Here is a 17,144-nt window from a genome sequence, read left to right on the forward strand (position 1 = left end):
CTTCTAAGGTAAAGAGAAACATCCAGATCAAGCATTCTTTTGCCCTATGAGGCCCTGAAAAAGTTGTCTATCTATACACTTAACCAGGATAGCATTTCTCCATCAAGTGAGCCTACTCCCATCCTGGTAAATAAGAAAATGTGGTAATGAGGATCAACTCTGGCAAGAAAAATTGAGCATTTGTAAGGATTTTTTGAAGTTAGACAAATAACATGTTGTTTACCTGTCCTGGATTCAGTGACCTCATTGCAGAACCTGCCATTCCAACTACACATCACATCCTTATTACAAGTTAGACTACCTCATAGAGCAGCCACTACAACACAACAATTTACAAAGTCAGAAAACAGATAAGAGAGAGGAAAGAAGGCTGAGGAATGCTCAAAGTACAAGGAAGAGAACACCTTATTTCTAATTCTAAACATATTTCCAAAACATATCTAATTTTTAATTCTAGCTTATAGAAGGACTGCAGGGAAGAAAGTCAAGATGAAAATTAAGATGACACATCTCAGAGCCAGTGGTTTTAAAATAACAGTCTTGTTTGCTTTACAACAAAAAGGACTTGGATGTAGGGAGGAGAAGGCAGGAGGGAACAAGTACGTTGGTGTTGCAGACTTGTCTGCTACAGAGGACCCATCCCAAGGAAAGACCAAAGAGTAGTATGTCTTCAGGCAGATAGAACTAAAACAAACAAAAGCAAATAAAAAGATCTCTAGCAATCTGATATTATTCGACTAACAGAAATTCTAGAGAAAAAATACAAACTTCACTCAGAAAAGAGCACATCTGGACATAGACTAAGACCTATCTGATGTGCACCACTGAGAACATGTTCTGGAATCTGCTCAGTGGTCACGCAATTCCAATGGCTGAAGCAGTCACATGTGTGGAGCATTCAGGTAAGTCATCACACCTGAGGACTTCAACTCTAAGATTCCCTGGTCCCTTGACTTCAGCTGGCTGAAGCTCAGATAAGCCAGCAGCTGGGATAACTGCAAACCCCACTGTTGCTCCCAAGAAATGTTTCAGTATGCTGTTTAAGCATGAAGGCTCTGAAGTCATACTTCCTGAGTTCAAATCCCACCTTAGCCAGTATTACTTGCTCTCTGTCCTTAGGCAAATTGCCTCCAATTTCTCAACTATAAAACAGAGAGGTTAATAACATCAACATCATGAGGCTCTTGTGATTTTTACGTAAAACAAGACATAGTTTATCTCAGACCTAAAAAATATGGAAAAAATATTTGGTTTTATTTCACACAGTTATAGGTGGTAACAATAACTCAATTATTCAACAAATATTTAAGAATTGGGAATCCAGTTGCTCCATGAACGCAAATGCAGAGAAACCAAAGCAAAGATCTCAGATTTACTAGAGTCTGGGGTAGAACATAGATAAGTAAATAATAGTAAACTAATACATGCAGTGTGGCAATGAAACATTTCAGAGGCACAATGATGCATCTGAGACTGAAGTACGAGAGGAGAGACTGGGTGAGGGCAGAAGGCAGGGACCAAAAGAGAAGTGTCAATGCCCCTACTCAAAGGACCCATGTAAGGTCTTTGGGAGCTCATTCATGTATATTAACTTCTTTTGTCCTCACAACAGCCTTGAGGTGTTTGGACCCATCTGCTTCATAACTATCCCTGTTTTATAGATATCAAAATTAGGTCCCAGAGAGATATGTGAAAAAGACTGTCACAGAGCTGAACTTGTCCTAATCAAACTATATTAGTGCAAGGGTGAAGATCTTGGTGAAGGAACAACAAAGCTATATCTTTGTATTGGTACTGAATATAGTTTAGCTTTATTGATGCCATGAAGAAGAAAAAATAAATTCCCACTGTAACCTTAAAACATAAAGAAACAGCTAAGCCATATCCCTAAAAAGACAGTTTGGAGGCAAAGAAAAAAATGTATAATTAGAAAAACACAATAAGGATGGTTAAATATGGGCCTACATTGAGTTATGCCAGCAGATAAAAATGAAAACTTGATATGATAAATGCATTGAAGGGGTTGTGGATGTGTGGGTGAATTTAGTGAAATCTGTGTATTCTTCAAAGAAGGAGAAAGGTGAATAGTGAGTCAAAACTACTCCCTTAGTCCTCAAATGTTTTCGGTGGTGATTTAAGCAGCCTCCATACCCCACACATTCTCCTTAAGGATAGCAGGCCTGAGATGAGCTCTTTGAAATGAATCTGCACTAAAGGAAGGCTTCCAAAAAGTCACCAAGTTAGATCAACATCTCACATGGGGACAGGATAGGTGTTTTTACTGTTCTGATACACTCTAGTGATGGGACACTGGGTAAGTTAACTAAATCTGTGTATTTTCAGCTTCACCTCATTTTCCTCCTTATAAGATGGGGCCTTATTTAATGCAAGACTTAAGAGGGCTGCTTCTGACTTGGAGGCTGCAGAATCCTTCAGATACCATCAAGCTCTGTGACCACTCTGAACTTTGCACTGTGCAAATGTACAATAACAGATCAACACTTCCAGGTCTATGCACTCCCCAGAGCAGACAAAGACAGCTGGCAGCACCCAGCACCACCCTCCTTCTTTCCGAAATAAGCAAGCTAAAGTCAGAAGAACCAAGTGATGTCAAGTAAATATATTTAAGCCTGCCACTGGACAGTTCCTACTAAGTTTTCCAGTGATTCATCTGGTGACGGGAGGCATCTGACTCACCCAGCTTGCCCTTGCACACATCCACAGATTTGACAGACAACTTGTCTCAGATCACACTATTTCAGGACAATCTAAGGTATTCTTTCAAGGCATTGGAAACACAACAATTACTCTGCTAAGAAATGATGTGAAACAACAATAACAATTATATTATCTTCTCCAAGACAAGAGCACTGGAAAGATGAAAACCAGTAAAGGGAAGATATGCCAGGAAGAGACATGCTGTTTTTCAAGCCTACTGGGGTAAACACCAAAGCCACCAGACTCCCCCTGGAGTTACTGTCAGTGGGTTGCACATGCCTGTATAGACAGGGAGTGCCCCATTACAGGAAATGTCACTAAGCCAAAGTATCTCAGACAGGACATCAAGTTTTGAGCTAATTCTGAGCAAAGCTAGTGGCCATATCTGGCTGGACTCCAAAAGAGAACATCTGGGAACATGATCTTGCTCCATGGAGCCTCGAGATAGTGAATTGAGGACAGCTTGCCAATCACAATTGAAAAGTTACCATGGATAACCCTATGCCTTGTGATATCTTCCGGTAACATCCCCAATGCTTCTCTTTACTCCCACACAGACTCTGGCACTGTTCAAAGTACTCCGGGCTATTGCATTATTTGATTTCCACTAAGATAATGCTTGTAAGATTATACAAATGTTCTGTGTCCCTTCCTAAATTTTAAGCCTTCAAGGGCAGCAGGAAGCCATTCTCCAATTTCTCTCCTTCTCCAAATCCTTGTCCCAGGCCTAGCTTCAGCCCTAGCCTCAGTCCAGGGCACCACACCCAAGGGCCCCACACTGATGCTGGTGGTGTGACCCAGAGGAGAGGTTCATGTTCGCTTCAACCTCAGAGCACGTGGAACCCCCAGGAGAAAGGCCTCATTTACAACACCGATCAAAGCAACTTTCATGCAACAGTGTTATCACGGTGCTTATTCTTGCACATCAAGCTCCTGCTTATTCAACTGATTTGTTATGTTCATTAGCATGGTATGCAATTTGCCTACTAAAATCTGCAATATCTGTGATGGTTTGCAAGAAATTAGAAACATGGAAAATAGGGAGATGGAATTGGTTTTAGTCAGTGCCAGGTATCAGCGGTGAAAATAATGAGCATAAGAGTGTGATAGATTTCTCTGCACATTTCCCTTCTCACTTCACACTAGTGTTGCTGAATGAAGGAGACTAAGAGACTTTGAGTGGAGAGGCAGAGAGAACTTTTTAAAAATGCAGAACTTCCGCATCCACAATCATACCATAGACAATTACACAGGTTCAGGTTCCAAACTGCAGTCCTAGGTTTTAAAGGCTTAGGAACTTATATGAGTCTAACTGCTGCTACTAATAGGCTTCCAAAATAGTGATATCCACAGGGTAGATGTTAAGGCCTGGGAACACCCCTTTGCACACCACTAAGCAGTCCTGAAAAAGCAACAGACAGACAAGGAGAGAAACAGTACTTTCCTCTCTCCTGTTTTCTCTCTTTTCCAGATATTTTCTCCTTTCCAAACTCCACATAAACATTGATACTCAATGCATACTCAAAAAGAAGAGGTCAAATCTCACCAACCCTGACCTCACTCTTGGATTATTTGCACAAAAGCAATAGAGGGCAAATGAAACCAGAAACTTTGCATGTTAACTACAAAATTCATCCTTTTAGTGAACTATAAAAATTAGTATTATTTTAAAAATTAAAACCAATGCAAAGAAGAAAGTAAAAGCTCACAAGTATGTATGGTATATCAAGATCTCACAAATGGAACAGTCAACATTCTCTCTAACTTCTTTAGCCACAGATTCTGACTTACCATCTGAAAGACTGTGTACGATAGAACATTTCTGGAAACACAGCCAAGACACTGATAACTGTAGTTTCTTCTTAGAATGGAGAAAAACTTTTCATCACCTTTTAAACTATTTGAATTTTTTGCTCTGAGCAATGCATTGCATTTTAATAGCAATGATATAAACAAATTAGACAGTTAATCAATTGATGAATTGTTTAAAATTGTTCCTATTAATAAGGCATCAAAATAAAGTTCCTCAAATTAAAATTCTTTTCTGGTTTAAAAATCTGAAAACAGAGTTTAGTCCCAGCCCTCTCTTTAATTTGTCCCCTGATTTGTGTTTTCAACTCATAAACACAGAGTATCTTTCCAATTATTAATTTTCCTTGATTTTGTTCATCAATATTATAGTTTTCCACATATAGGTCTTGTATGTATTCAGTTACATTTATACATAAGCATTTGACTTCACGTAAATTGATTTTTAAAATTTCAAACTTCAATTGTTCACTGCTGGTGTACAGGACAGCATATGACTTTTGTATATTAGCCTTATGTCCTACGACCTTGCTATACTCACATATTAGTTCCAGGAGTTTTTGTTTTGTTTTCAATTCTTTAGGAATTTCTATATAAACAATCTTGTCATCTGGGAGCAAAGACAGTTGTATTTCTTCCTGCCCAGTATGTATAACTTTATCTTCTTTTCTTCTCTTATTTCATTAGGTAGGACTCTAGTACAAAGATGAATAGAAGTGATGAGGGAAGATATCTTCGACTTGTTTCTGATTTTAGGTAGAAAGCATTCAGTCTCTCACCATTAAATGTCAGCTGTAGGGTTTTTGTAGATATTGTTTATCAAATTGAAGAAGTTCCCCTCTAATCCTAGTTTGCTGAGAGTTTTTATCCTAAATCGTTGTCAGATTTTTCCAAATGCTTTTGCGGCACCAATTTATATTATCATATGACTTTGCTTTTTTATCCGTTAAGATGGTTGATTATATTGATTAATTTTCTAATGTTGAGACAGCCTTGGAATAAATTCTATTTGGTTGTGGTATATAATTCTTTTTATACAATGCTGGATTTAATTTACTAATATCTTGTTCAGGATTGTTGCTTTCATATTAATGTGAACTATTGATCTGCACTTTCACTTTCTTATAATGTCTTTATCTGGTTTTAGTATTAGGATAATCCTGGCCTAATAGAATGATTCAGAAAGTAATCCCTTTGCTCTTATTTTTATGGATGAGATTATGAAAAATTAGCATCATTTCTTCCTTGAATGCTTGGTAGAATCCACAAGTGAAACTATCTGGGCCTGTTGCCTCTTTTTGAGAGGCTATTAACTATTTAATTGTTTAATAGCTATAGGATTGTTCATATTATCTATTTGCCTACCCAACCAACATTATAGTCACATCTTTAAGAAAAAACACTCCCCCAACCGAAGCAAATTCAAAAATGAGAAGTGATTATTGCTCCATATGTGCCTATATCAACATAAAGAAACAAAAAACATGAAAATGCAAGGTAATATGACACCCTCAAAGGCATAGTCATTCATCAGTAGATCCTAGCCAAAAAGAAATCCTCAAAATGTCAGATAAAGAATTCAAAACAGGCCTGGCACAGTGGCTTATGACTGTAATCATAACACTTTGGGAGGCTGAGGCAGGCAGATGGCTTGAGCTCAAGAGTTCAAGATCAGCCTGGGAAACATGCCAAAGCCCTGTCTCTACGAAAAAAATACAAAAACTAGCTCTGTGTGGTGGTGCATGCCTGTATTCCCAGCTACTCAGGAGGCTGAAATGAGAGGATCGCTTGAGCCCAGGAGGTAAATGTTGCAGTGAGCTGTGATCACACCACTGCACTCCAGACTGGGCAACAGGGTGAGACCTTGTCTCAAGAAAAAAAAATAAAAAAAAAAACAAGAATTCCAAATATTTATTTTTAAAACATGTAATAAGATGCAAGAGAAATCCAAAAACCAACACAAAGAAATTAGACAAATCAATTCAGCATATAAATGAGAAATTTACCAAGGAGATATATATCTTACACACACAACAGAAATTTTTGAAAAATTCATTGAAGGAATTACAAAATACATTTGAAAACTTCAGCAATAGACAGGAAGCAGCAGAAGAAAGAATTTCAGACCTTCAAGACGGGTCTTGAAATAATCCAGCCAGACAAAAATAAAAAAGAATGAAAACAGCCTTAGAGACATTTGGGACTGCATAAAGCAAATAAACTCATAACTTATCAGTATTTCTGAGGGGGAATAAAAATTTAAAAAGTTTAGAAAGCCTATTTAATAAAATAAATGATACCAATTTCCCAGGTATAGCAAGAAAGTTAGACATCCAGGTGTAGAATACCCTAAAAGCCCTGACTTCACCGCTATGTGATTAATGCATGTGACCAGATTAAACTTGTTCTCCATAAATTTATACAAATAATACCTAGGCGATGGGTTGACAGGTGCAGCAAACCACCATGGCATACGTTTACCTATGTAACAAACCTGCACATCCTGCATGTGTACCCCGGAACTTAAAAAAATAATAAAAAAACAAAAAGTAAAAATAAAATTAGTCTTCATTTTTGGTATAGTACTTTTGATTTATAGTATTGCCTTTTGATTCTTTCTCAGAGTTTTTATCTCTCTGTTTATAATACCAATCTGTTCTTGCACGATGTTTACTTTTCATATTAGGACCGTTAATATATTAATCATAGGTATTTTAAACTCCCTATCTGATTATTCCAACATATGTTTTATGTCTGAGTCTGGTTAATGCTTACGTTGTTTCTTCAGACTCTTTCTTCTTCCTTTTCAACATACTTTGTGGTGTTTAGGTGAAAGCCAGACATGAGGTATGGGGCAATAGGAACTGAGGTAAATGGGTAAATGTGAAGTTTTATGTTAATCTGGCTTAGAGGTGGGTTGTGTTTAATATGTGCTGTAGCTGTAGATAGCAGAGACTTTAAATTTTTCCAGTGCCCTTGTTTTTGTCTCCTCTGCTGTCTTTGGGCTTCCCTAATAACTCCACCTTAGATGAAGTTTGCATCTTGTAGTTTTTTCAGCTGTAATCCACTGTGATTATACTGGAGCCCTGTTGGTATAATAATAAGATGTGAGGGAAGGGAAGCATTCCATAATCTTGTGATTAAATCTCAGTCTTTCAGTGGTTCTGTGTCCCTGGGTTGTGACTTTCACAAGTGTTTTTAGCTACTCCCCCCTACTTAGGTGAGACAGAAAGTCTAGAGGGGGCTGAAGCCAAGTAAATGTCCTCCCTCCAGGTGAGATAAGTCACTGCTAAAGTCTTTTTCCCTGGAAAGCAGGCTCTTTTTTTGTGGAGGCGCTTTGAATTTATTTCATAATGGTGACTTTTCATCTCTGCCTGCCAGAGCCAAAGAGAGATCTTTCTTGGCTCTTTACTGTGAGACTCTAGTAGGGTTCACAGAGGCAAAACCCAGAAAAGCTTAGGATCCCCGCTAAGACTGTGGACCCCAGGAGTTTTTCATTTTGATACTAGTCCACACTCAGCCTCAAGCAATTCATCACAATTACCATTTAACTGACTTCTCCTCCAGGTAAGCAGATTTCAGCTGTGATTTTGTTTGATATTCACTTGTTTCTCTAGATTTCAAAGTGCTGGTTTGTTCCATGACCTAATTCTCTGATGGGCCCAAGAAAAAGTCATTGATTTTCAGTTTGTTCAGCTTTTTTTCATGTAGGAATGAGAGTGATGACTTCCAAACTGTTTACATGTAAGAGCTGAAACCAGAAGTCCCTTGACTTGTGTTTCAATATTCTCATCTGCAAAATGGAAAATAAATTTGCCCTGGGAGCTTCCAGGGCAATGGCGTCATACAGGGAGAGGGCTTTCAGGAGAATTATGAGTCAGAACATTTTATGTCATCTATCAGCCTCTTTCATTTTATCAATTCTGATCACTTTGTCATCCTACCCATTCAGAATACTACAGACTTATGTAGCTTTGTCAACAAGGTTTTCTAAATCACGCCATTAAAGTACTAGATTATGTATTCCTTTTGGTCTCTATATAACTTTTTAATTTACCCTGCACTCTCATAGGGAAGATTCTACCTAAAATGAAGTAAAGCTCAAGTTGGGAATAACAATGGAGGATGCATGAATCAGATGGGTTATGGGTTATGGTATTAAAAGTACAAAGCTTCAAGATGGCAGGGGCAATAGAAACAGCATATTTAGTCTTGGAACTGAAGTGCAGCATAAGATGAAGAAAGAAGAGCATCAAACGGTCTGCATTCCTCAGTACCCCAGAAATTCTTCTCTTCCCTTGGGATTCCAACTTACCCTCTGGTTAGCCTGCCTTCTTCCCACTCTTTGAAAATTATGACAACCACTATTCCTAGCACTATAAAATATCAAATATGTAAGGAACATAAGAATTCATACAATCCAGTCATCCATCAAAGGTAAGAATCTTCTCAAGCACAGTGACGTTACTAAGACAGCACCTAGTTTTACCCTAAGCCAAATATCATCTTACAATTTCCTAAGCTCATGGTGTAGGACTTCACATTATCAGAGACTCTTTCAGAATCCTCTATTTGAGAATCATCTGAAGCTTTCGTTCACCAGGATAATTTATTCCCCATCCAGCCATGAGCAGGATAAACTGCCACTGCCTTGTCTTTTGCTGCAGTTTTCCAGACACTCCAGATCCATGTGGCAAGGGCCCATATAGCCAAGCTACCTCAGCTTTGAAATAAATGATGTGAACCCTGGTGCCAACTGTGTGAGTAAAGTTCAAAGATTTATGCTATCTTTTAAAATTCAGCCAACTCCTGTGCACAAGAAAAAAAAATCAATTGTTGGACCTCCTTTGTTCTCCAAAAAAATCAATCATGGTTCTTGCCAATGACCCCATTACCCTCTGGATGCCAGGGTCCCTCCTTCACATCCCCATTGCATGTTGACATCAGCCGTATTGCACTGCATTTCCATAAGCCTTCTGTCGTGGTTCAAGATTGAAACCACCTTTTATAGTCTCTTCTCTTGTTAGCATCCTTAGATCCCTATTACTTTTCCCCAAAATAACTGTAAATGTGTGAACTAATTAGCTTAAGAGCACAAGCTCCCTTAATGCCTTCGGAATCCTGCCATCCAACACTGATTTCTCTATGTTCCGAGCTGCAAAATAGCCCCTCACTTGGTTTTGGTTTAATTATTCTTCAAGGTCATCCCTGTGCCACTTCCGTTCATGATTCTTTTCTTCTCTGCTTCTGTTTTTAAGAGGATTTTTAAATAGGTTCGGCAGCTCAGCCGTTTTTGAGTCATTACTAGCTTCAATCCCCTCTCGCACTTATTACTTGGCCTATTTTTTTCTCCAGCCTCGCCTCTTTCTCTGCTATATTTGCAAGAGTGTTTCTGATTCTCTCTAAGCCCTTTGTCAGGTTGGAATTGTTCTGTGTTTAGGAGGCCTGTATCTTTTCCCTTCAGTTTGAACTGATGGTACGTGGCCTGGATTTGATAATTGGTCTTCCCCTCTTTGGTTTACAGCACAGATGGGTTTCTTCCTTCAGCTTCTGATTGCTCCATCAGGACTGAACTGATTGTTCCCTGGATCTTCAGGATGTTCACTGGATAGGCAGGAGCCCCAGGAAGACAAGCTTCCCTGCCTGTGGGTTGTTCAACAGCACCTGGCCTTCAGGAATTCCATGCCATCTACTGATTTATTTCCATGTTCAACTTTGGCAGAAACCAGAATCCTAAGGTGAGGATAATAAAACAAATGCAACAATTATCATAATAATGTTACCTCCCACTGGAGAGCATTGTAGGCCTTTCGAGCACTTTCCTATAAATTATCCAATTTAGAAGACATTGCATAACACACTTTATTTTTTGCTTTCTTCTAATTATTATTCTAATTATTTTCTATTTTCTTCCCAATTATAATTTCTCTTTCCCACTCATTTTGCATTTTTAAGCATTACCTTAAGGAACTATAGGATGCACTTCAGCGATGGATCCACATCAGAGGCTTTTGATCTTTTTGAAGTAACAGCACACAAAGCTCATACTCTAGCCAAGGTCTACATCTTACCAGGCATGTGGAGGGATCCTCAGAATGTCTCCCAAATGAGCACACCCAACGGAAACTGGGGAAATGCTACAACTCAGAGGCATCCAGGAGACCCAAACATTGTGTGGTAATTCCAACACCAGGCTCTGAACAGCACCGCTTCCCAGACATCCCAGTTGGAATGGAAATGGGCTCTTAATTGAGGATAAGGCCTAGACAGGGTTTCAGTTGGAATTGCGTCTGCCGAATATGGGCTCCTGTGGATAAGGGGTCTGAGCAACCAATCAAAATAAAATACCATGCAGAGAGGGAGGAGAAAAAGGACACTCAAGGACACAGCAAGGCAGAAGGCCGAAAGGCCAAGAAAACAGGAGGTCTTCAGAAGTTTACCCCCAGGATAAACCAAGCAGAAGACTCTCCCCTCAAGACTTCCTGGGTTTAAATCTCATCTTCACCATTCACTAGCTATGTGGCCTTGGACAAATTACGTAACAAATCTGTGCAAACCCATTTCTTCATCTATGTCAAATGGGGAGAATAATGGTACCTGCCTCACAGAGTGTCACAAGGATTAAATGACTTAATCCTTGCAATATGCTTAGAAGAGTGTCTGGCACATGATAAAGTGCTATGTAAGTGTTCACTGCTGCTATTATTACTATTATCTAAAGTATCAGGATTTTTCAAGGGTTTCTGGAGAAGGAGAAGAAAATCAATGAGACTATGGCAGACATGTAGAGAGAAACAGATTTTTGGGGCAGAGAGTTTGTGACCTAAAGCTTCTACCAGGCAAATATCGATAGCTAGTTCTAGGAAATAAAGACAGTCCCGGAAGATGGAGTCTTTTTCTTCTCTTTAAGTTACACACATTGTCTGACGTATGAGCTTCCAGGAATTTACAAACATTCCAGCAATAAACATCAAGCACTAGCATCTTCAATAGCAGGAATAAAAAGAACAATAAAGATAAATATCATCAGTGCTTATAAACTGTGGGGCAGATTTTCTACTATCATCATGGTTCAAAACTAGGAGACAGAAAAATTCTGGAGTCCTTTTTTTTATTTCAAATGTTTGATATGAAATTTCTTTATGTTCTTATCTAGTTGCATATAACAAACTATGGATGCCTTTTCTCTTGTGAAGAAGGGCCCCAGGACAGACATGAAATGGGCGGGAGTTAGAGTTCAAGTTGCTGGACAGAGGTGGAGTGAAACTTGTTTTTTAAGCAACGATATCTGTTTTAGACATAAAGTATTTTGGTGTAAAAGAAGTAGATATAAAAATTGCTTGTCTTAGAAAAAAAAAGTAAGCACAGCTTCTGTGATGTGGTAATAACATAGAGGACTAAATATTTGGCCCTTCAAATTCCCTAGTCTTCATTTCAGCCTGGCTAGAAGGGGAGATTGAAGCCACATTCCCAGAACTGTCATATTTATCGGCAGTGATAAATTTGGCAGAGTCTGAAGAATGCTTCTGCACTTACTTTAGCAGCAAAGACTCAGAAAATGGGCAATTGCTTTCCCAACATGAAAAAAGCATCCTGGAGCTGAGCAATTGATTGAAAAAGATGAGACTAGCCTACCAAAGATGAGAACTCTGGGAGATCATTCACGTTCAGAGAAAGAATTCCAGCGTGGCTAAGAAAGGCAAGCTGACTAGTACAATGAAAGGAACTGAGTAGCCTGCATACTGCAAATAGAGGGAGTATGGCTCATGGTGAATTTTTTTTATTTTTTCCATTACTTAGAAGACTGGAATCAAACTGTGTATCTTGGAATTCTACTGGTCTACAAATCCATCTCAGAATCTCTGGGTTTGGTTTTGCTTTTCTAAGGTCCAAGAAAGACCACTCTTGGTTTGAAAAAAGAGATTGTGTCAAACTATTTTAGTCCAATCCACTGAGAAATCAGATTTTCCAAAAATATTTCAATTAGATTTGTATCCCTGTAACCCTTTGACCCTAACAACAAAGTCTAGGAGCTGTAAATTATGAGTCTGCCAAACAGATTAAGGAAGGATCTCTAATAAGAGCAAGAAGGACTGATGGCTTGGTAAGGCAGGTGAGGAAGGAAATGCATATGCTATTCAGTGGGTCAATGAGTTTTTGAGGATGTTTGCCTTCTACAGATGTAAACCACACTGTGAGTGGCTCCATTCCACATCCTGATTGATAGACTACCTGAGCCATCATCCATTTCGACTCTACGCAAACTTGGCTAGGCCACATAGCTAACCCGAGCTCTACAAATGTGAAGTCCTGTTGGCAATACTTTTCTCCCCCTTGTTTATTATTATGTGTTGACATCCAGAGAGATTCTCAGTCAGGTCCTGAAGACTTCAGATTTTCACAATATTACAATTTCAGCAAGCTGAATGTTCAAAAATGGAAATTGGACAGACTTATCAACTTTAATCGACCATTAGAGCATCGGAGCCTGAAGGCACAGTGTTTAACAGTTGGAATGGGGTGGTCAAGTAAAATGCTGTCTCTTTCATTTGGAATCTGGGAATAAAGCCAACCCAGATAAAAAGGGAAAAAAAAGCCATTACTTTGACAGCTGTGGCAGAGCACGAGGATCAGTGTTACAAAGGAGGCCGAGATGCAAATAGTGCAATGCATTTGGGCAAGGTTTGTCTCCTGAATTCTGGCTTTGCAGATTTTGTGCATAATGGAGATAAATAAGCAAAGGAATAAGATACTGACCTACCAGAATGAAGGCTATTATCTGATAACAAAATTGGGGCCTGTGACATCATATTGTATTGCCAGACTTGGCCTCAATATGTCATCACCTTTCTGTGTAGCAATTGCTGCCTTCTCAAAGAGGCAAATAATTTGCTACCTTGGTTCTGCTTCTCTGCTTCAGCCCCTGGGCATGGTACACTGTGAATGCTTTAGAGGAGGATTCTGGAATTAAGGTTTTTAATTACACCTGACATTAGTGAGCTTTCACCTCTTGGCAGCCATCTTGTTAAAATCACCCATGGGAGCAGAAGTTGTTTTACTGGAAGTTAAGGCTCCTTTCCCCTTGATGCCTCTGTTGGCCATGCCACAGATTCCTTCCCGACACCATTTACTCTGCTAATGTGATTTCGTACATTATGAACTTTCAGAATGTTAAACTGAACACAGTTTTTTCCTTTTAAACAAAATATATTGTTTATGTAAAAAGTCTAATGGCCCATAGCAATCCAATTTACATGTAAAGTACAAGATTTCCTATCAAATCAGTTTTATTACTTCACATATGAAAGATATTGAGCAGTGGTAGGTATATTGTATTTGTATCAGGAAAATACAAGAACAGATTTATTGGGCCTGTGCTTAATAATATTAGAATCGATTATCCCAATGAGAGACAGACATCTATTCACTGTGGGGGGAAACATTATTTCCACCACACTACTGATGCCCAGTAAACCTTTTCCCTCTTCACTTGATGAAATCACCATAGTTAAAGGGTTAATAAGGTTTCCTAAAGTGGCAACATTAACTCTCTGTCAGCCACAAGGGAATATTGTTGATACCACTTAAAATTTATTAAGCATGTTTGGTTTGCTGGGCATTATACCAAACCCATAAAACATAAGATATTTTATCATCGGTTGCTTTGTATGCTAATATTTATATGCACTCAGAAACTAGATTTAATCTTTCTTGTATTTTCTACATTATGGAAACCCCAAACCTATTTTTCTTTATATTTCAATTTATCTTTCCTGTTATTCCAATCATTAGATGATCTCTTTGTGAAGTAACCTGTACTCTCATAAATGATCATCTATCTGTAATATTTTAGGAAAGAGCAAATAACTTTTTTATTAACCTGGAAAGCTATTCTATAAGCACTCCTATTAAGAAAGAAGAGCCAACTCTTTTGAATGTTCCTAATAGATTATCTTGATGGCCCCTTTCCTTTTACAATAAATTTCCATTTAATATGATTGAAAACACCAATTTACTTATTTATTTTTATTTTAAGTTCCAGGGTACATGTGTAGGATGTGCAGGTTTGTTATATAGGTAAAGGTGTGCCATGGTGATTTTCTGCACAGATCAACACATCACCAAGGAATTAAGCCCAGTATGCATTAGCTATTTTTCCTGATGCTCTCCCTCCTCTTGCCCCCCTTGACAGGCCTTAGTGTGCATTGTTCCCCTCCCTGGGTCTATGTGTTCACATTGTTCAGCTCCCACTTATAAGTGAGAACATGCTGTGTTTGGTTTTCTGTTCCTATGTTAATTTGCTGAGGATCATGGCTTCCAGCTCCTTCCATGTGCCTGAATAGGACATGATCTCTTTTTATGGCTGCATAGTATTCCATGGTGTATATGTAGCACATTTTCTTTATCCAGTCTATCAATGATGGGCATTTGGGTTGATTCCATGTCTTTGCTATTGCAAATAGTGCTGCAGTGAACATACACATGCATGTATCTTTACAGTAGAATGATTTCTATTCCTTTGGACAGAAGTAGAATGATTTATATACCCAGTAGTGGGATTGCTGGGTCAAATGGTATTTCTTGTTCTAGATCCTTGAGGAATCACCACACTGTCTGCCACAATGGTTAAACTAATTTATATTCCCACCAACAGTATAAAAGTGTTCCTATTTTTCTGCAGCCTCACCAGCATCTGTTGTTTCTTGACTTTTTAATAATCACCGTTCTAACTGGTGTGAGATGATATCTCAATGTGGTTTTCATTTGCATTTCTCTAATGACCAGTGATGTTGAGCTTTTTTCATATGCTTGTTGGTCGCATAAATGTCTTCTTTTGAGAAGTGTCTGTTCATTTCCTTTGCCCACTTTTTAATGGGGTTGTTTGTTTCTTGTAAATTTCTTTAAGTTCCTTGTAGACTCTGAATATTAGACCTTTGTCAGATAGATGGACTGCAAAAATTTTCTCTGATTCGTAGGTTGTCTGTTTGCTCTGTTGATAGTTTCTATTTCTGCGTAGTAGCTCTTTAATTTAGTTAGATCCCATTTGTCAATTTTTGCTTCTGTTGCAATTGCTTTTGATGTTTTTGTCATGAAATCTTTGCCTGTGCCTAGGTCCTGAATGGTAATGCTTAGATTTTCTTCTGGGGTTTTTATAGTTTTGGGTTTTACATTTAAGTCATTAATCCATCTTGAGTTAATATTTGTATAAGGTGTAAGGAAGGGGTCCAGTTTCAATTTTCTGCATATGGCTAGCCAGTTCTCCTCACACCATTTATTAAATAGGGAATACTTTCCCCATTGCTTTTTTCAGGTTTGTTGAAGATCAGATGGCTGTAGATGTGCGGTCTTATTTCTGGCTTCTCTACTCTGTTCCATTGGTCTATATGTCTGTTTTTGTACCAGTACCATGCTGTTTTGGTTACTGTAGCTTTGTAGTATAGTTTGAAGTCAGGTAGCATGATGCCTCCAGCTTTGTTCTTTTTGCTTAGGATTGTCTTGGCTACTCAGACTCTCTTTTGGTTCCATATGAATTTTCAAATAGTTTTTTCTAATTCTGTGAAGAATGTCAATGGTAGTTTAATGGGAATAGCATTGAATCTATAAATTACTTTGGGTAGTATGGCCATTTTCATTCTTCCTATCCATGAGCATGGAATGTTTTTTCCATTTGTTTGTGTCCTCTCAGATTTCCTTGAGCAGTGGTTTGTAGTTCTCCTTGAAGAGGTCCTTCACTTCCCTTGTTAGCTGTATTCCTAGGTATTTTATTCTTTTTGTAGCAATTGTGAGTGGGAACTCATTCATGATTTGGCTCTCTCTTGTCTGTTGTTAGTGTATAGGAATGCTTGTGATTTTTGCACATTGATTTTGTAACCTGAGACTTTGCTGAAGTTTCTTATCAACTTAAGAAGCTTTTGGGCTGAGATGATGGGGTTTTCTAAACATAGGATCATGTCATCTGCAAACAGAGACAATTTGAGTTCCTTTCTTCATATTTGAATACCCTTTATTTCTTTCTCTTGCCTGATTGCCCTGGCCAGAACTTCCGATACTATATTGAATAGGAGTGGTGAGAGAGGGCATCCTTGTCTTGTGCCAAAAACCCTAATTTACATCACATACATGAGATGGGAATAAAGCATAGTCTTTATTTAACAAAAACTAAAAGTAGGAGTCAATGCTATGAGGGATACACAATAATATGAAATGGAACTAATACAAAAGTAAATTTTCTTATAATATCCTGCTAGAATTTTTCTCATACTTTTGGATACAAGATTTTTGCCTTATTAGTTTTCACTTGTAAACATTTTTTCCCATTTTTTCAAGGTTGGAAAGAGCTTTCCTTTCCACCCTAACTTGCTTCTTGGAGTGAAAGGTGGCCCCTAGCTGTCCAGGGCCTAGTTGATACGATTTTGCTTTTGGATTTAGTTAGAAGGCACACGTTTTCCACAGCCTTCCACCCTCTGGGCATGCAAGCAAAGTTCAAACACAACATTGCAAGTAAGCAAAAGTAAATTGAACAGCTAAAACCTTCTTTCAGGGAAAGGCAAACAGATTAGTGAAGGCCAAACCACAGTATGATTCTTGCCTATGCCCCAAAGATAAGTCAGCCATAC

At 38.4% G+C, this 17,144-nt stretch overlaps 1 long non-coding RNA gene across 1 annotated transcript in view, besides 1 other annotated feature; it reads right to left on the reverse strand.

Moving 5' to 3' along the window:
* The window catches only part of LOC107985792 (uncharacterized), a 180,825-nt gene that overhangs the window by 76,329 nt on the left and 87,352 nt on the right, over positions 1-17,144 (reverse strand). The gene's annotated exons all lie outside the window — the stretch shown is intronic.
* Positions 9,559-10,758: an enhancer, noted in NCBI's record as "BRD4-independent group 4 enhancer chr2:23326863-23328062 (GRCh37/hg19 assembly coordinates)". NCBI's record gives its function as "activates an origin of replication core promoter dependent on BRD2, P300/CBP, MED14 and CDK7 cofactors, and independent of BRD4, by STARR-seq in HCT116 cells {active_cell/tissue: HCT116}" and the evidence as "EXISTENCE:reporter gene assay evidence [ECO:0000049][PMID:35650434]".

The sequence above is a fragment of the Homo sapiens genome, chromosome 2, assembly GCF_000001405.40.
Source record: "Homo sapiens chromosome 2, GRCh38.p14 Primary Assembly".
In the NCBI taxonomy this organism is placed as follows: domain Eukaryota; kingdom Metazoa; phylum Chordata; class Mammalia; order Primates; family Hominidae; genus Homo; species Homo sapiens.